This window comes from Homo sapiens, chromosome 3 (genome assembly GCF_000001405.40).
Source record: "Homo sapiens chromosome 3, GRCh38.p14 Primary Assembly".
Taxonomy (NCBI): Eukaryota; Metazoa; Chordata; class Mammalia; order Primates; family Hominidae; genus Homo; species Homo sapiens.
In genome coordinates this window covers 105,344,906-105,366,184 of record NC_000003.12, presented here as the reverse complement: position 1 = coordinate 105,366,184, position 21,279 = coordinate 105,344,906, and the positions used below count along the sequence as shown (strand labels likewise).

The 21,279-nt window shown below is 37.5% G+C and overlaps 3 annotated features.

Annotated features, from left to right (window-relative positions):
- Positions 12,089–12,907: an enhancer, noted in NCBI's record as "H3K27ac-H3K4me1 hESC enhancer chr3:105072122-105072940 (GRCh37/hg19 assembly coordinates)". NCBI's record gives its function as "activates a minimal SCP1, AML or CMV promoter by ChIP-STARR-seq in primed H9 embryonic stem cells {active_cell/tissue: H9 hESC(primed)}" and the evidence as "EXISTENCE:reporter gene assay evidence [ECO:0000049][PMID:30033119]".
- Positions 12,221–12,370: an enhancer, noted in NCBI's record as "active region_20194". NCBI's record gives its function as "activates an Ori minimal core promoter by ATAC-STARR-seq in GM12878 lymphoblastoid cells {active_cell/tissue: GM12878}" and the evidence as "EXISTENCE:reporter gene assay evidence [ECO:0000049][PMID:35858748]".
- Positions 12,411–12,500: an enhancer, noted in NCBI's record as "active region_20193". NCBI's record gives its function as "activates an Ori minimal core promoter by ATAC-STARR-seq in GM12878 lymphoblastoid cells {active_cell/tissue: GM12878}" and the evidence as "EXISTENCE:reporter gene assay evidence [ECO:0000049][PMID:35858748]".

Below are 21,279 nucleotides of genomic sequence, written 5' to 3'. Positions count from 1 at the left end.
CCGGCTGGCATAGACTTGGTTTTAAAGGAAGACTACGTGAGTCGACTGCCCGGTACCAACAGAAGATATTTGCTTTTCCCGGGGGAAATTAAATCCGGAATTTCTAAACCGTACTTCGTCATACGGATTTTCCCAATGTCTACAAAAGCCCTCTAGAGAGCGTGTCACTTTTTTACTTTGAGTTAAGCGGTGATTTTAAGTTATAGACAGAAAATCCTCAAATTATTTCAGATTAAAAGCCAAGTCCGTCTTGGTCCGTTCCCGAAAGCCAGGCACTCCAGCAGATGGACAGGCTTCTTAGGCAATTTCTAAAGATTGAACCACCTCCCAGGAGGAACATCGGGAAGCTGTGTTGCTTTCAAATCAGGCAGAGAGCATGAAGGAAGATTTTCCTCTAGAACACCGGGGTGGAGCTGTCGGAGCCCTAAGTGGCTCTAAATCAGGGATGCAGGATCACAACTCTCATCACCAAAGAATAATAAAATCTTGGTCCCTGAAGCACTTCGCTGGGGCATTAAATAGCCTTTCGTGCATCACAGGGTCACCCTTTTGTGAGACTGGTCTCCAGCAGAGGATGCCAACTAGTAATCGTTACATACTGCACTTTCATCAGAAAACTGCGAGTTACCAGCGAGATTGGAGACTCGCAACACACAGACACACACACACACACACACACTCACACACTGATTTTTAAAATTGTTTATCTTTTAGTGCTCTAAACTATTAAGCCCTATCTTCAGCTGTGATTTTTCTCAAAAGCCTGCTTGTCCTGTTCTTCCAGTTCTCCTTACATTAACAATATTCTAGAGTAGAGCTTTTATACCATATTTTTTTCCTCTCAAAATAAGTAGTTTCTCCCACTTGGTTTAAACATTAACATTTCATTTGCATCTTATGAATCAACAGGAAGGCTATCGCTAGGAGGCAAATGCCTTTTAACTCTATATTCCTTGAGCTAAGCTTGGCTGAAATGCTAGCATTTCCATGGACTCCTGTAGAATTGCTTTAGGGAATTGTTTTCTTTTTCACTGTGGTTGTAAGTGGGGTGTATTAGAATAAATCGACCTGACAATATATTTAACCTAGGTCCGCGAACGCTCTATCTGATCTCCTCTATTTTACGATGGGAGTTAATACAGCATAATTGCTTAAAGGTAGATTTGCAAAAGGAAGACTGATTTGGGCTCTGACACTAACTGTATGATCTTGGTCAACTCACTTAACCTCTTTAAGCTTCAGTCTCCTTTCTTGTAAAAAGTGATAATAGTGCTAGCCTCATGGGATTGCTGTGAAGATCAAATGAGATCAAACACACAAACACACACGTGGAATTCTGGGAGCAACTGACTATACAAATATGTACATATTATACTTATACACAAACACATGCATATATATATGGGCATATGTATAATATATATTTGAATGTGTAGTCCACTGCTTCCAGAATTGTTTTTAGAAAGGAATGTGTCCTAGTTTAGGAAAATGCCTTGATAAGCCACTTGGACTAGTAACTCCAAAGGCTATTGGTCATTAAAAAAAAATGGTGAAACGGCTCTATATTAAACAAAATAATAACCATGAAAATAGAAATTTGGCCTGGGAGTGGGGACGAAGGCAACAATACAAAGCATGAGTTTAGAAATGTTCAAAGGTCTTTAGATCTATTAATTAGCAACACTTACATGTTAGAATATTCTAAGCAATTTATATGAATTAATAGATGTATTCCCCTCATAAAAATTTATTGAAGGAGTTGCTATTTTCATCCTCATTTTACTCATGAAGAAACTGAAACCCAGAGACTCGAAGCAACTTTTCCAAGGTCACACAATGATTCATAGCAATGGTAAAGCCAGGGTTCTACCCAGGCATTCTGATTCTTGAACTGAATTCCTATCTACTTTGCTCATCACTATCCACTTTGCTTATCAAGAATGCGTAGCAATAAATGTATGGTTTTTTTGGTGGGGCGATTGATTTAAACATAAGTTCTCTCATCCTTTCACACACATTTTCATTAAGGAAATTTATTAATAAAGCAGCGCACCCTATCTGCGTAGGCCAGATACAGTGCATATGAGATGACAAGACCACTTCTAAACTGAAATAATGTAGCATAAGCAAGAGCTCAGAGTTAGAAATAAACATAAAAATGTAAGCTCCACAAAGTAATGTAATCGAATTAATCTTTCAAAATCTAGTCAATGTGGGATTGGATCCATCTTACCTAATTCTTGAGAGGAAGAGTGTTTCCAGCTACATGTAGATCACAGTCACTTTTGTTACAATTGAGAATACATAGTATTCCAATAATATTTATTGTATAGTTTAGTCATGCATCAGAGAATCATAAGGGTACATCTTGCTGAAAGGGAAAAATGAATAACATTTATCCAGGGGGAAAAAATTTCACGTTACCTGGGACATGAGAAGAGCTTTGTATTTTAAGTATAAAGGAATTCATCATCAATCAGGATGATATGCTCAAAAGCAGTGACATGGTACCGGAGGCAAGTTTCCTACTTACGGTCTGTTGAGATAAGGACTCAGGATTCCCAAGGCTCAGGCCAGGACCCCTTCCCTGTACTAAAATATTAATCCCATCAGTATGTGACAACATAGCCGAGTCAATTGTGTGTGCCTTTGAAGAATGGAAGTAGTTTTTCTCCCCTGATTAGCACCGCCAAAATTTCCACTGGAGATGAAATTTCAACAAAGATAGTTTTGGAAGCTGAGAACATTTGTTCCTACCACTGTATACCATTGTGTTTTGTTTGCCTTCCTACTCCTTGAACAAAATTGTATGCAGTTCCAGAGCATGCAACAAATCTGATTCACTCTTCTCTCCTTCAAGCGTCACCTACGGTGAATGCATGTTCAGCCATACTTAAAAATAGATTGGACACTTGATAAATTTTTGTGAATGGATGATAAGTGGTGAGAAAAATACCTAATGGAATATAAGCCTTCAAACCATCTTACAAGGGTTCATGATATGAGAAGATGAAAGGGGTTTCCATTGGGTCTTCAATGATTGGTCTAGGCAGACTAAGGTTTAGGAAAGGCAAAAAGAATGAGTCAAGTCCTAGTCAACAAGGTGATAACTATGAAGTATAAAGTGAGGAAACAATCTACAGAAGAAAGGCTGTACTAAAATTATATGCCATCAATTAGAATAAAACAAAGTGGCCCATGCTGAGCACAGAAACCTGATTAGTAAAGGTTCTAGGTGATCAAGCTAGGGCTTAGGCTAATATACTGATGACAAAGATTGAAATAAGGGCCTAAGTGGGATTTATATTAAGTCTAGGAAGAAACACAATCTTAAAGAGGCACAGAGATTACATCTGTATAATATAAAATTCTGTTTTATTCTAGACTCCAAGTTGTTTTTAAGTAAATGATTTCCAAAGTTATTGTATTAAATACACATGGAGGACCTCTGGGTATATCTCTTCCCAAGTCCATTGAATTTTATTGTTTAATTTCAGTTGTTAACAGTATCATCTGTCAATGAATTAATACAATTCTGCAACTCACCTTTTCAATAATGCCAGCTAATAAAGACATATCACTGAAGCTCAGGAGAGTAAAAACTTTCAAAGTCTATGATAAACATTATGTTCTTATTTCACAGAATGTTCAGTCTGGGTACAAAAAGAAATACATAGCTATTTCAGTTGAACTAGAAATCCACTTAGTCATTTTCCTTCCTGTCTCAGACATGAGGAATGAAGAAAGAATTTAGCTACGCTATTTGACTATGAAACTTACACTATATTAAATGAATTTCAAAAACTCTCAGTGTATTAAAAACTCATAATTTGTGGGTGATTTCAGTAAGTGTATAAATTTACATACAAAAAGTGTAAGAGTCTGGGTTTACCCCTTAACTTGAGGATTTCTCTTCAAAGTTTTCCCACTTTCAACTGAAATAAGCAGGTCTTTTAGTTTTGAGTAAGTAGAAAATGACTCAAGGTATGGCTATTTAAGTGTTTGATGCCTTTAAAGAAATTCCAACTTGAATTATATATTTTCAAGAAGTTTCCCAGAGTTATCTCTAATTTCTTTGATATATATTTATTACCCATTATGATCTGCAATAGTTCTATTCAGGAATATGAGGTGAATATATAATGACTGTAAAAATATGAAAATAATATATATTTGATTTTCTAAAGCAAAAAAGTCACTTTGGATCTAATGGATTTCTAGAAAGTCTAATTAATTAATTAATTACTAGGCCCCAATTTTCCATACTATTTTCCTCTTAAGTAAGATAGTTAAGTTCACAGGAAAGTATTAACAAACGATGGTTGGACAAATGTATGTTTTTGCTCCCTAAGGAGCAAAAACTCTATTATTGATTAACAAAAAAAGAAGTATTAATAACATGGAGTCAAGGATCACTGATCATATATTATAAGAAAGAACTTTAGAATTTTAATGCTTTTCAGGGCCTTAGAAGTATCTTAAGTGAACTGTTTTCAATGCTTAAAAGCAACCCTTTTTCTTCTAATACATGCATACTCTGAAGTCCAGTTTTATATTTGCCCCTTGTTCAATTTATTCAAATCATAGTAGTCTCCTCACTGCTCCTAAATGTACTTTGCATACTCCCACATCGGTGCCTTTGCACTTGCTCTTTCCACTCCTTGGAACTCTTTTCCCCAAGTTATTACGGTAGCTTACCTCCTCATTGAAGCCTTCCATAAACAAGTATTTAAACTGTCAGTCCCAGCCCCCAAATTCCTTTTCCTGCTTCATTTTTCTCCATAGAGTTTATCACCATATAGCATAATATCCATTTAACTCATGTAGTTTGATTATTGTCTGTCTCTCTACTAGAATGAAATCTCAATGAGGACAGAAGTTTGTGTCTGTTTTACATTCTTCCATATGTTTAAAATAGTCACATAGTAGACACTATTGGATTCAAAAAGTCAGGTTCATGAATACATGAGTTATTGTGCAAGGTAATTAATAAGCTGTTAGAGGTGGGGCTGTTTGGGCTGAATCTTTGTAAGCAGCCTGAGGTTTCACCTCCTCCTGTAGACACTCTAAGGGTTTCCAGGACAGTTAGATAAACCACTGGAATAATGTAACTACCTCATATAACATATGAGGTAGGTAATTGAGGTCCCGGGAGGAAGAACACTTAATCAAAATTAACACAGCTATGGGCACCATTCTTGTTTAAATGCAAATTATGTCTTTCAAGTAGGGTAAATATACAAGATACCCTGTAACTTAAGTCAAATTCTTGGGATAATAAGAAGACTGGATGCATATCAGACACCATTAATCAATTTCAAATACGGCACATTTATCCAAAGTCTTTTCAGAGCAAACATTCTGAATGATGTTCTGTATAACATTTCACTAAGGCATGATTATGGATGCAGTACCAATATTGCAAAGTCTACAGACTTAGTTAAGTATTAAAGAATTTAAGCCTCAGTGTTCTTTATACTTTGTTCTTTACAGGGTGAATTTGGCAAAATTATAATTCTAAGCAATGTATTCCACAAACATAGATGATTCATAACCTATTCAGCTAACAGTGCTATAGGACAAATATTTAATTTAATTTAATGTCCAGCATTTTAACATTACGTGGAGGTGTTTAATGTGTTTACTTTTCTTTGTAAGGGAAAGAAATTCACTTAATAATTGTACCTCAAGGTGAAAAGCTTGTGAGAAAATGCAATACATATAAAACAGTTATATAAGCCAATGCATAAAAAGATTTATAAATATGTATATGCTTTCATTGAAATCACCAGAATTCTGTGATGTGTTCTAGATGGTAAGGAGGTAGATGAAATTATTTCAGACCTTGGCTTCTGGTTTTAAAATGCTGTTAAAACTAGTTAACTGATATACCTCATAAGGAAAATTATTTGTCTTACTATGGAGAATGGCATCCAAGTTACAGAGTGAAACATCCTATGCAAGAGTGGTTAATGTATCCAATTAGAAAAGAATTTCCAACTGGTGCAGTTGCAGTGTCTCATACCTATAATCCCAACCCTTTGGGAGGCTCTCTTGAGCCCACGAGTTTGAGACCAGCCTGGGCAACATAAGGAAACCTCGTTCCTACAGTTCCTACAAAACCAACCAAACAAACAAAAAATTAGGAGGGTATGTTGGTGTGCACCTATAGTCTCAGCTACTTGGGAGGCTGAGGTGAAAAGATTGATTGAGCCCAGGAAGTGGAGGCTGCAGTGAATCATGAACTGTGATAGTGCCTAGGCAACAGAGCCAGTCCCTGTCACACACACACACACACAAACACACACACACACACACGCACAGAATCTACAAATGGTGTACTTCTCAACTAATTTTTCTAGAATCAAAGACATTTCAAGAAGTGCATAGTCCATGTTTATTCCTTGGATTTTTCAGGACTGAGGCAAATATCGAGGCCGGGATTAAATGAACACTAGATGTAGCCTCTGAAGCTAAAGGAACGCCAAGGGGAAGCTTGAGATGCACATACAGGGTGGGAATCACATCATTTAGCCAGACTGAGAAGGTGGGCCTTAGTTACTCATATCAGTAGCTTTGTCCCACACCAGAAGCTGAGTCATCTTCTATTCTCAAGCCTTCCCTCCTACTGCCTCCAGCTCCTGAGATCTTCCCAGAAGGACTCAGAAAAACTCCCAAATTACTCTATCCTGAGGTAGCTCTACCCCATCTGCATAAATTCCCGCTGTGAAATTTAAGTTGAAGTAACTTTTCCTAGTGATGATTTGTCCTTCCAGTTTGAAAATGATCAACATCTCTTCTCTCCTTTCTTTTCTTCCCAGCTTAATGCCTTATCTTTGGCCCGTTTTGTTAAGACTTACCATGTTGAGCTAAATAATAAAGCCATGATAATTTATGAATCAAAGAATGAGCAGTGAATGTATTGTGGTCTGTGTGCCAATGAAAGAAAGAGATGTCCAAAGAGAGATGAGTCATAGGTCAGAGAAACAAAAATAGAATAAATTAGCTTATCTTAGAATATAGGCCAAGAAAGAAATTTAGCTCTTAGTAATTTCCCACTACCACCTCCTTCCCCCTTTTCTTAAAAGTTAAGGAGACATTATTTTAAAAGTTAAGGAGACATTATTTGTATAATCCCGGCCAGCCTGCAGGAGTTTGTCCTCAGGTAAGGAATTTTTTTTTTCTGTGGTTTTTGTAATGAAAGCAACAAAACCCAACTCTACACAGCCTAAGCAAAAGAAACAAAGATGGGAGCCAGACATGGTGGCTCACACCTGTAATCCCAACACTTTGGGAGGCCGAGGTGGGCAGATCACCTGAGGCCAGGATTTCAAGACCAGCCTGACCAACATGGTGAAACCCCATTTCTACTAAAAATACACAATTAGCCAGGCATGATGGTGCGCACCTGTAATCTCAGCTACATGGGAGGCTGAGGCAGGAGAATTGCTTGAACCCAGGAGGCGGAGGTTGCAGTGAGCCAAGATCGCACCATTGCACTCCAGCCTGGGCAAAAAGAGCGAAACTCCATCTAAAAAAAACCAAAAAGATGAGGAGGGGACTTACTGATTTAAATCACCAGAAATTCCAGAAGTGTGTATTTGTTGAAGCATAGCAGGAGCCAGGCATTTGAGCAAAGTTTTCAAGGGTCTTTGTCCTTCTTTCCACATTTTAGCTCCACGTGCCTCTGGTTGTCTTTATTTTCTCAATTTCCTTTGCTACAGCCCACCTTCCTCTTTACTGAAAACATGGTTACCTGAGGATCTGAGCTTATAGCCACAGAAACTGAAATCCTTAAGACAGAGAAAACTTCATGGAAAAGGTTTGATTGACTCGGTCCATTTTTTGAGCAATTTACTGTGAACAAGAAGATCCAGTACCATGATTGATCAGGTAGTCTTGTGTCCACCCCTGTAGTCAGGGAGCAGGAGGGCATCATGTTTGACAGCACCTCAAAATCACAGGGACAGAAAATCATTCCCCAGTGAGCACACAAAAATGACAGACATCCACTTCATTTTCCTTATATTATTTTTACTTGATTCTTAGGACTAATAGGCTTTTCCATCCAGATTGTGCACAACAGGGACCTTTTGATTAGCGGGGGGAAAATAGAAATATACTGCAACGTGGGAAACCTAATTTTATTTTCATCCTTTCCTATTTTAAAGGGCTAGATTATCAGCTCAGAGGGAAAGAGCGCATTATTTGCAGGTACCAGATAATGTTTTTTTCTCCTTACTATCCTATGCATTATCTAATTATGTGGGGAATAACGGAAGCACTGGTGTTGTTTTATACTTAGAAAGATGTGAAATAAAGTGACAAAATAGATATCTGAAGTATTTGCAAATACATTTATTTCCCCTGGATACAAGGTCAATATAAGGTACACTCAAACAGTTTGACAATACAAGCAGGTTTTGAAGGTGAGTTATTCTTTTAAATTTTATTATAAATTTTTCCATCAATATACCAACTTCATCAGTTTGCTGTCATCCTTGCTATAAAGAAACAAAAAAGTAGATTAATAGCCAGAAATTCATATCAGTTAATCTTTTGTATTCAACTATTCCTGATTTCAATCTTTGAGGTATGTTTTCAGTTTTTGCAGTCATCAAAACAAGTGCCTACAAACATTTTCAGATGGAATAAATCAATATTTTGGTCTTCTTCTTCAAGAAAATTGCCAACTCTTAGGAATGGTCATTTTAAGGAAGGAGCTGCCCTCAGCCAATCCTAAGTCATTCTTTTCATTTGGTCTAACCACACTTAGTTTAATCTGTCTATCTTCTTCAAATATAATTATTTGAAGAATAATTCAATCCCTGCTCCAGCCTTTATTCATTATCCCAGCTTTCTCCAAAAATTACCTACTCTCCCACTTTGCCTCTAAAATATTGCTCCAGCATCTCTTCCTCCATGGTACAATTGTATGCTGGAGGCTCTCCAGAGCTGATTGTGCACATCTCTTCTCAATGCAGCCTCCAGTGATGTCATGTTGGCAGCTTGAAATCTGCCACTGTGGCATTATTTATGCCCTGCAGAAATTGGAAATTGCCAAATACTACAAATAAAGGCTTTTTCTCTGAGTGCTGGTTGTTAAACATTTATTAGTACAATATGGTCCATGGAGCTGACTTTTGTCTTCACTGGCCACTGTAACAGCAGCAACACAGTGCATAACGGCCTGAGTTTGGTGTCAGATAAACTGGAGTTTGAGTTCTGGCTTACCTATTTAGAATTTGTGTGACACTGAGAAAGTTATTTCACCTCTCCAAGTCAGTTTTCTCAAATAAAATAATACATGCAAAGTCACTGGGACAGGAAAGTGCTGATAAACCTTAGCTGTTTCTCAATATCCCCTAATCCTTCATGTCTAAGCCATAGGAAGTTTCGATTATCTATGTCTGTAGTTGCATGTTAATATCATTTATATTTGCTCTGTCTTTCACCATTAAAACCCCTCAAGTTTTAAAAAAGATCATCATTATATTTTGTTTAGTGTGTTTGGTAGGCAATGAATCCATAATAAATTCTGCTTTAGGGCATATTGGTAGAGTAGGCAGACAGTCAGGGATGTGTGCCCAGTGATGCTTGAAATGCATTTAACAGAGTATAAAGGCATCAATGACTAGTGAAGAGAACCAGAGTTTAAGAGTAAGGATGCCTAAATTTCAATCTCAGCACATGGCATATAAAAACTACACAAATTGCGAGATTAGATAACTATAATTTTAAATCCCTGTTCTGTCTCTATCTGTGTAGCCTTCATCAACTTTTTGACTTTAGCTTCCTCTTCTGTTGAGCGCAGTTAAGAGTAGCTTTGTACTTACCCTGAAAAGTCGTTATGTGGGTCAAATGTATTACAGAATGTTAAATGTGTGAATAGTAGTCTCTGAATAAAAGGTGGCTGTTATTCTTCCACTAGTTGATTGCGTGGTTTCATCTTCCTAAGCTTCATAGACTTTAACTATACCTATAAAAGGAAGAGGGCTGGTTTGGTGCTCTCTTAAGAGGCCTCCTTGTTCTGAATGAAATTCTTTGTACCTAAAGCCTTTTATTCCAGAAACAGAAGTCTTATTGCCAATATTCTTTGGAAAGCAAAAATCCCTTTTTTCCAGTTTCACTACTCCCAGCCCAGGCCCTCATCACCTCTCATATCTATATAGCAAGTTTAAAACCAGTGTCCCTGCCATCTGGCTCTTCTCTTTATTCTCCAGACTTCCCCTGCTCATCTTAACACAAACAGACAGACACAGACAAATTTGATTATGTCACTTCCTTTCTTTAAAATCTCTGCTGGAGTCATTTAATCTTCACAATGAAAGCTACACTTAATAGCAAGATCTATAGAGTCCTTGACATTCTTGCCCCTAGTTGTATATTTGCCCCTTTTTGGTTTCACAAACCATATCACAACACTCTGTCATGAACTCTACGCTTCACTCACTGTTTTCTAAACATACCATGGCAGCCTTTCTCAACCGTTTAATTACATATGTGGTTCCCTCAGCCTGAATGTACCTCCCACTCCCATCCCTTTGACTGGGTTACTCCCACTCATATTTCAAGACCCACCTCACATGTCAAATTGTCTGTTAAGCCTTTCCTGATTCCCCTAGGCAGTGTTAGTCACTGCTGCCACTGTATTTCTACAGCTTTAGCACTTACCTCTTTGATACATTTATCTGTTTACAAGTCTGACTCCTCCACTAAAACAGTGACTCCTTAGAAGGGATGTACCACAAGTCTGGAGTCAGACTGTCTGGTTTACAACCCCCTGCATCAACACATGTTAGATGTGTGCATTTGAGGAAGCTTCTTAGCTTCTTTAATCCTCAGTTTTCTCACCTACAAAATGGAGCTAATATGCTGCTGATCTCAGATAATCCTTATATTATTGAAATGACAAAACACATGTAAAGCTCCTACGTCAATGTCCGGCATATATTAAGGACTTAGTTAATATTACAAAAAATGGTGATGATAAAGATGGCTATAATGGAAGAGATAGTAAGGCAGTGGGAGGAGAGAAGGTGATGCAATAGAAACCTCATTTATGTTTTTAGCACCTTGGCCTCTTCTCAATGTCTAGCCCATAGTAAGTGCTCAATGCATGTTTGCTGAATGAATGCTTGTGTGATACAACTTTACAACACAGCCAAAATGTCAAATTCCAGCTCTTTTCTCATATCTGATTCAAGGAAGTTGAATTAACTTTTTGGATGCCAGAAACTCAAGTTCTAACAAAGAGGAGAAATTAGATGAGGAAAAAAGAAGAGGGGGGAGAGAAAATGGCAACAGCTGGGTTGGAGGTGCAGAATATAAGTATATAAGTCAAACTAACCTCCTTCACAGCTTTGCCTCAGCATTTTACATGGTTTTACTGCTGGGGACTGAAATAGGCTTTAAAGAAAAGAGTGAAGATGTGCGGATTCCAAATCTAGAGAGCAGCTCCACCATAGGGACCAACCCAGGGTCTAAAGACAGTCAAAGCCAAATTCCTTTGATGTTCTCTGAGAGCCTGCAGGCAAAATAGCAACTCAGCAAGGGTTTGGAATGCAAGTGGCATGGAATGAAAATGTGTGTTCCTGTTACAGGGCCAAGGAAGGGAAGGACAAACCTCACCTATTAAAGAAATCCCTGGACTGGAAAGGACTGGAACATTGGGAGTGGAAGTCCACATTAGCGGAATAGTATGTTCTGAAGGCATTTGAGCAGATGAAAACCTGATACACGAGACATAAAACCTGAGGAAAATTATTTCATGGGAACGGTAAAAATGGTGGAGAGGGTAAATTGGGCAAGGGAGAAGAACGGAGGAGAGGGAGAGGGAAGTGCTGCTGAACTTATTTCAAAGAAGAAGAAGAAAAAAAATGATCTCTTGTTTTTCATTAAATAATGGATGCTCTCCAGGCCAGCCAGAGTCGCGGCTGATTCTGTTTTGCGCTCAGTGGAGGAAAAATCAAACCAAACCAAAACATAAAACAAAACGGGAAAAGATGAGCGTTTCCTTTTCCTCCTCCCTTCCTCCAACCGAGTTCTTCCTTCAGCCCCAGGGCCCGCGAGGGGGAGGTCTTTTTCCTTTGCTGCCCGAGGTTTGCGTCCTTCCGGGGCCCAGCAGCCCGAGATGCGTTTGGTCCCGAAACCCGACAGGCGGGGAAGCGGGCTCAGTCTCTCCCTCCTGGTTTTCTCTCTCCTCTTCTCTCCGCTGCTCTTCTCAGTGGGCACTTGCTCTGTCGTGCGTCTCCGCACCCGGCGGTTCGGAGCAAGGGCCATTGATACTTCTGGGGGATTGGGAGGGTCCCAAATGGTACACCAATCCTTCCTCTACAAGGAACCGTGTCTTTATGAGCGGAGAGTGATTTCGATGGCCGAGGACCCTTGTCCTGCATCCCGCGGAGCTGACCCAGGACCGCTGGGTGGGCGGCGCTCTAGCTCTGGATGCGCTGTCTCGGAGCTTTCCCGGAGGAGGCTGAGGCGACACCGGCCCCCGGGTAAACTATGGCTCCTGCCTTGTGTAGAGGAGATCTTGGTGAGGTTGTGGTTCCCGCAGATCGTCCTGGGATTCTGTTCCTCCAAGTGAAAGGCCAAAGCCCTGCCTTGTTAATAAATCATAAGCCGCTGACTCATTTCAGGGAAGTGGACAGACTGACTTAGGTAGATGAGTGTCACAAATATGTTAAACAAAATTAGCAAATACAGGCCGGTCTCTTGCCATTATCACTGGCAAGATGAAGTCCAAGGTTTTCCCATATATTTTTCTGGGGATATTCCTGGTACCTTCCACCCCAATAAACGTATATTATAAATGGCACTGTATTCTTGATAGTGTTGTTTAGAAACGATGATTGCACTTAAATCAATAATATGAACCTACCAAAATTAAATACAACTGTTTCTAGTTAAAAAGAAATCCACAGCAATCAAGAATGCATAAGTTCGCAAATTCTGATAATAGAATTGCTCCTCTAGAAACTGTGGACAGGGTTGTGAAATGCATGACTACAGCTGAGTGGATTGCACAGCGAAAGGCCTGTTCAAGTCTGAGGGCTTCTGGGGGATTGTTTTGTATGTAGGTGAGAACGCTGATCTCTGCACAATTGATACATAGAAAGTTATTGAATTGATGTGGGAAACAAAATCATAAGAAATCCTTTGGCAATATCTGAAAGGTAGCATTTAATTCTCTGTCATTCAAGAAAAAGGAGCAGTTCAGCTTTCAAAATGTATCCACATTATACAGTCAGCCAAAAAAGTATAATCCCCATTCAAGCTATTAGAGTACAACATAGGGTGACAGTGGGATTTTTAGCTTGGTTAAAGCAAATAAAATACTGTAGAAGGAATGAAATCAAACTTGTTGAAACTTGGATTTGCAGAAATATAAGGCAGCTTGGAGAAGATGAATACAGGTGGAAAATGACCTTTTGATTATGTTCAGGAAGGCATTAGAATGTCAGGAGAAATGCTGGAAAGGAGATTTATTGCCGTAAGCACAGTTGACAAGTTCCATTTTGTCGAGTCTCTTGGATGGAGGAAGGAAACCAGCATTTCAGGAGGTGATTAAAAGAGCCCTGCAAAGTCTTCAGTAATCCAGGGAGACCCAAATACAGAAGAATTCTGTTGCCCCTAGTCTGTTTAGAGACTCGAAGAACCCTACTATTGGGTTTCCACCACAGATATGCTTATTCCTTGTCAGAATGTTTGTACTAGATACATTGTATGACTTATAAGATGGACTGGACCAACATATGTGTGTATCTTTCTTTCTTTCAATAGAAAATTTCTTCCCTCTCTTCTTCCTTCTTTCTTTTTGTCTGTATTTGTATTTTTACATATGTGTGTATATATATATATATATACACACACATCTGTGACTATATATGTATATATATATAAATATATGTGTGTGTATACACACACACACACATGCACACACACACACACACACACACACATATATATTCAGAGACCCAGAGAAGAAGAGGGGATCGAAAATATAAATTATTTTTTGTGATAAGATGAAGCTACATGTATATACTCTTTTACATTTTGAAGACTGCATTCATATTCAATGACTCATTAGAGACACACATCCACATTTTTGTGGCCAACAGGTCTAATATTAGAATTCCCATTTTAAAGATGAGGAAATGAGGATAAAATAAGAGAAGTGATGTGTCTAATGCCCTTTTCATTTTGCTACAAGACCTTTCACAATACTTGTGATTCATAAGCATGAACTAAATCCACATGAGCCTCAACACATCCCCCTTTCATGACCATTTTCCTTCTCTTCTTTTTAATTTGCATATTTGGTTAAAATCCTATACGATTTCAATAATTCTCCATATATACCAACTTTCTTTGCTTTATTTTTCTCATTAGCCCTTATGACTATTTAGCATACCTTAAATTTTACATGTTCATCTTTTTTGTGTGTTGCCTTTCTGCCACAGAAAATACACTCAAAAAATATAGGAAATTATTTTTAGGGGTAATTATTTTTAGGAGTAGGGGAATACTATTTTCTGCTGTGTCTCCAGTGTCTAGAAAAATGCTTCACAAATAGTAAACACTCCATAAATATTTGTTAAATCAAGCCGTTCATGAATGACTCCTTACAAATTGTCCATTTGGATCTAATTACCATCTTTCTGCGAATGCTTTCTGTAAGGAAAGAGTGGTATTAATTACTTGCAAGAAAAATAATGAAAGTAAGCTCATTGCAAGACTCTTGATACTTGATGGGGGAAATGAAATTCTTTCTTTGTTTTCCTTAGTTCTTTCTGACTATTAACAAAATGCAGTGTTTGGAACCTCATATGACATGGCCAAATGATGCCTCTGCTAAGGCAAGAAAAATTTTTATGAGTCTCATGTCTTTACTGCCTTCTACTCCTCATCACCTTGCTCTCACGTGTATATAAACTTCAGGCAATATCCCTTGTCTACGATCAGCCAGGAATGTATTTTCCCTGGACCAGTGCCTTGCACATACAATCTTTCCAGACTTTTCCCTTCCTTATTAAGTTTTACCTGTCCCTTTTCCCATTTCTTCCACTGTCTACTTTCGTTACTGTTTTAGCTTCCAAGATAATATATTTCAATTTTGTTGGAATCAAGTAGCCTCAGAATTGGATGGACACACAGTACGGCTTCTCTCCCAGTACAGCAAATCTTTTTTACAGGATTGACAAGTGAGAAGCAGTGTGGGTGAGAACTCTCTCTCTGAACACAAGATAGATGTGCTTTCTGCCTTTTACAAAGGCAATTATTTAACCTTTTAAACTTCAAACTCTTTATGTAGAGAATAATGACAAAGTAGTTCTCATCTTCTAGGGCTGCTGTGAGGGTTAAATGGGAAAATGCAGGCAGAGTGCATGGAATATTCCTTGTCAGTAGTAAGCACTAATACATATTAGCTAATACCAGTAACATCCTTGATAAATTATCTTTCAGATTCCATTTCAGTGCCATCAGTATTGGGGAAGGAGACCACTACTTTCCTGAGTTAATCAGTTCTTTTTAAGACAAATTCTCCAACTGCTATTAAGATTCTTTTTAATAGACTTAGTCTATTTCCTTATAACTTCTGTCCATTGGTTCTTGGTGTTTACTTAGAGAAATATAGACAAAATATGTGTCACCTCTTTGATAGGGCAATGTTTAAAATTTTTAAACACAATTATTATGGCCTATCAACGTCTACTCGATTGCATTCTAAGATTTCCCAGTCACATCAACTGTTGTATATGTATACACACACACACACACACACACACACACACACACACACAGTGGTTTCCCACCCTGACACCAACCTGACTGCTCCTCTTGTGATAAACTCCAGTTTGCCTATGTACCTCTTCAAGAGTAGCATTGAAATTTGATGCAAGAGCCTAATTGTTATCTAATTAGTACAAGCCACAGGGGAGATATTATCTCTCGAGTTCTGGACATTGTATTCTTAATGGAGGCTGAGATTTCATTAGATTTCTTAGCAACCTTGTCACGTTGTTGGGGGCATGTCTAGCTTGTTAACCAAAAGTTAGAACTCCATGTCTCTTTCATATGAATCACTGATGAACTAGCCTGTTCTGTACATGAGTAACTAAGAATGTGTCTAACACCAATGTCTAGCATTTATTCCCACTAAATCTCACTAAGGAAACTTCTGGAGATGATACCTTCAACCTGCTCTTCACAAACTTCATTTTTCCCTTCTCAATACTGATGAATGATGGTATTCACATAAACTACAAATGCTCATAGGCACACCCATGATTATTTGGAATTCCCATCTGCCAGTTGTAACTCCACCCTTTACTCTTCTGTGGAAAAAAGCATATCAGAACTTAAGTGAGTCAACTAATGAACTAAATTCAAAAGGTAATGGCCTAAAGCTTTTTGAAGAACTTAGGTGAAAATCTTTATTATATTGGGGAAGAAAATAATTTCTTATGCATTGTCAAAACAAGAAAGAAAGCACAAAAAATAAAAGAAGAATCTAACACATTTGACTTCATTAGGATAAAAACCTCACCAAGATATCATAAAGAGAATGAAAGATATTTGCAAAAAATGTAATGGACAGAAGACTAGCCCTTTCACCCAAATTATAAAGAACTCTTCTAAATTACTAAGGAAAAGACAATCAAATAGATAAATGGCCCAAAGACTTAAACATGTGCTTCATAGAAGAAGAAATCAAATCGAGCAAAAATCACATGAAAAAGATTAGCAGTCAGGGAAATGTAACTTAACACTCAATGAGATAGCATTTGACACTCACTAAAATTATAAAAATAAAAATGACTAATAATGCCAAATGTGAAGGAGTAGTTACAATAATGAGAACTCATAATCTGCTGATGGGTATGGTTTTATTTAACATAACAACAGTTCCAAGTGAATGGTCCAGTTTTAGAAGTGGCTTCTTCTACACAGTCATTCAAGGATCAATGATTCTTCTATCACATTACTTGGTCATTTTTTAGGTATTGTCTATTTTTGCATGGTCTATCAGCTGGATTGCAGGAATGTCTGTGTCCCAGAGTGTGGGAAGGGGAGAGAGAATACGGAAAGTATATATCAATTTTTTAAGGCCTAGACCAGAAAATGTCTTACCTCCTTTTCACGAGACTCCATTAGCAAGAACTGAGTCACATGGCCAAAAATGGCTTTGAGAAGGCTTGTAAATGTCTTCTTCAGCCCTTTATTTTTATGAAATAAGAGAGGAGCAGATAGTAATGAACAATTCTATTCCTAGAGATTTGTTTCCAAATGTGGACCAGGAGTTGTTTTTCAAGAACAATATTCTTAGAACATAGAAGCATTGTTTTTGTAACTAAAAAACCTGGAAATAATTCAATTACCTATCAACAATAGACTGAATAAATGAATTGGGGTATACAATAAAAACTATATATAGCCATGAAAATAAAATACTGTTATACATCAGTATAGATTAATGCTATAGCTATGCTAAAAAATTAGTCAAAAATATATACAGGATGATACCATTTGCATAAAATTAAAAAGGGCAAAATTTGAAAATATAATATTTAAGGATATCTATATGGATGATAAGCTGAAGACAAGTAAGATAATGAAACCACAGAAGTCAGGATAATGAGTCGAGTCACTGTCTTTTGAGAGGAAGGAAGGAGATGAGATTGGGAAAGGCACTCAGTACAGGCTTTGCCCTATTTCCTACCAAGAGGTGATCACATCAGAGTATTTCCTACATTTTAAAATGTACAGATATGTTTGCTATAATTTTCTGTGCATATGTTGAACAACAAAACTTTTTCTAACAAATTTAAAAAGTAAATAACTTTAAAAATCATATATTTTCAGTATATAAGTAGCTACTTGTGACATGTAATTGGCAACACAAGTGTCAAGACAACGTAATTGTTGCTTTTCCTAGAGGATGAATTTGCAGTGGAAATTTCAGCCATTCTGAGCCCTACTTTAGTGAAGATATTTAGGGGATGTTGAAGAATGGGTGCTTCTTCTATCACATGATGCAGGCTCCTTCTTTCTCTCTTCTGTCTTCTGGGTTAGTCAACTCATTCTGTGCCCACTTGCATGCAAATCATACAAGAGTGAACAAACTTCATTCAAGCATATAAGAACATTTCTGCTTTTAAAAAGTAGCAAGCTACAATGGACTGAATGTTTGTGTCCCTCAAATTTTACATGTTGGAATCCTAATTCCAAACACAATGGGATTGTATTTGGAAGTGAGACTTTTGGGAGGTAATTAGGTCATGAAATGGAGCCCTCATGAATGATGTTAGTGCGCATACAAAAAGGACCTCAGAGTGCTCTCTTGCCCTCCTTTGCTATGTGAGGAAATAGGGCAGTCCACAATAGGAAGAAGGCTCTCCCCAGGACTCACCACGCAATCACCCTGATGTTGAACTCCCAGTCTCTATAACTATAACAAACACACAATTTTTTTGTTAACTTTAAGCCACCCAGTCTGTGGTACTTTGTCATAGCAGCTCAAACTCTGACACAAACATATGTCAGTGTTCTCATCAATTCCTTCAATGCAGCAGAGTGATAAGAATATGGTTCTAGAATCAGGGTGCCTGGGTTAAGATCTTGGTTCTGCTCTGTCACCATAGACAACCTTCTTAATATATCTAAGCCTCCATTTCTTCATCTATAAAACAATAATTTAAATAGTACCAACTCTGCAGGGATATTGTAGGGAATAATATAATGTATAATGATTTTACACATGCCTATTTTATAGTAAGTGCTTTAAATGTTGTTAAAAAGTACAATAATAGAAATTATTTTCAGTTAGCAGTTGGTTAATACCAAGATATGTAGAAATGTCACATACTGCATGGCCAAATATAGTCTTTTAAATTTTGTGCAAAAACTAGTTCTAACATGTGGTAGCCTTGGTATGTAATGGGCACCCAATAAATCCTAGCTTCTGTTTACTTTAAGGTATTCAGAAACTTTGTCCTGTTTCTTTCAATATGTTATTACCTATGAGTCTAGTAATTAAAGCGAGAAGTTATAATTAGGACATAGGCTATCATATAAGATGAAGTCAATATCTCTATAGTGTTGTGAGTTTTTGTCTTAAAATTTTTGCTGTCTTGGAGTTCAGACTTTCAAGTGGTCAATGATGTAAAATAAAATTATGTAAAATTAAATGGGATAACTATTTGTAAGTTTTAGTACTGTAACAGCATGTTATAGGAACTTAGTACAGTTAACATTTTTCCTCATTTGGAGTTGCTTTAGATACTGCATAAAACGTTGTAAAATATATCCTTAATATATTTTTGTCTTTGGAGTTTGAGTCTGATTTTTGGAAATAGCTAAAAGCCACTCAGAGCCAAGTATGGTGAATAATGTGAGTGAACAAGTTGTGTAATACCATTTTTGGTAAAAAATGAGGTATTATAAAATTAATGAGACTTTTTCTTGTATGGTTTATAAACTGGCTCTGAAGGCAACTCTAAAAAAATGTTCCACACATGAGTTAGGCAGTGACAGTATCTTTGGAATAATTTTAAAGACTGCTTTTTATCTTGTCAGGCCATGTTGACATCAGCCATATGCAGTACAGCTATATTAGTTATTAAAGTATTGAAGTAATTCTCTCCTTATTATTAATAGCCTTTTTCTTGAATTCCCCTAAATATGGTTTCTCCAACTGCACAGCTGCTTCGGCCCCTAGACTAGGTTAACTCATGGTATGGCAAGGGGTCTCTAACCCTGTTTTAGTACTACAGCAGTCTTGATTCTGATTGGGATGTAGAGCTATTCAGTTTGCTAATTATTTTGAATGTCACTACTGTCTGTCATATTGTCTGACCAGAAATTTTATTGCCTTGGCATGGCTCATTTGGATGTTAAGCATGGGTAGCTTGAAAAACATCAACAACAGTATCTTTCTGGGATAACTAGAACAGAAAATTAGTAGTTCTTCTCTGAAATACCTGATCATGGTAGGAATTCTCTTCTTAATCTGGTGCTACATGCGGCAGATTAAGACTTCATATACCTCACATCAATAAACAAATGCTTTGTCACTGCAGGATAGACAGAAAATAAACCTGAATACTTCTGAAGTTATTTCCAACGACCTTATAATTGTTAAAGCATTCTAATTCCAGTGATAATTGCATGGGATTTCTAGGTATGCTAAAAAAAAAAGTAGAATAAATTCCTTGATGCTTATAAGGCAGATAGTACAGATCAATCAAATCTACAGATGTGGTTGGAAAAAAATCTTTAAAAATCCATTTAGGCATTTATGGTCCATTTACTTTCACAATTTTCAGTTGTTCCCCATTGTACTCACTTCATTGATATTTTTATTGGTCACAAAATGGTGATTGTTTTATTTTTGTCATAAAATCCCCACCTTATTGACAATTTTCAATTAGAGTTTCACTTAACATTAATTGAAATTGCTAGCTATTGACATCATGTGATCATACATTCACGTTGCTGCAGCAGTTTACCTACAATAATCCCAAAGAAGTCGTATAATGAAGTTAATGCTATATTATAAATGGCAAGTTCATGACTTTTTATTCATATGTTTCAGTGTTGGAGGTGGGACCTGATGGGAATTGTTTATATCACTCAGTTCACATGAGATCTGGTTATTTAAAAGTATGTGATACCTCATTCCTTCTCTCTTGCTCCTGTTCTTGCTATGTGATGTGTCTGCTCCCCCTTTGCCTTCCAGCATGATTGGAAGCTTCCTGAGGCCTCGCTAGAAGCAGATGCTGCGATGCTTCCTGTGTAGCCTGCAGAACTGTGAGTCAGTTAAACCCCTTTTCTTATAAATTGCCCAATCTGAGGTATTTCTTCATAGCAGTGCAAGAACAGCCTAATACAGTGAATGAGGGAAGTATCTGGGTATAGAAATGACATTCCTGAAGTAGTTTCATCAGTTAAAATTTTGGAACTCTTGGCTGCAGGGCCTGTGGTAGCCATGCCGAGAGTGGGGTTTAAAGCAGTCGAGGGCCCCGTCCCTCCCAGCTTAATTTTTAACTTGTGAGAACTAGATGGCAAACAATATGCACAGGTTTTGGGGCTCTTTTTAAAGATCTTTCTCATTTTAAGAAAAAGAGACACTTTAGAAGCTAAGGAATGAAACAGTGTGACAAAAATGCCAAAGTCCAGACTGATACTCTTTCCCACAATGCTGTGTTTGAAATAGCTGGTGTAGACTAATAAAACAAGGAGAAATAAATGGAAACAGAAAGATTATTTTATGTA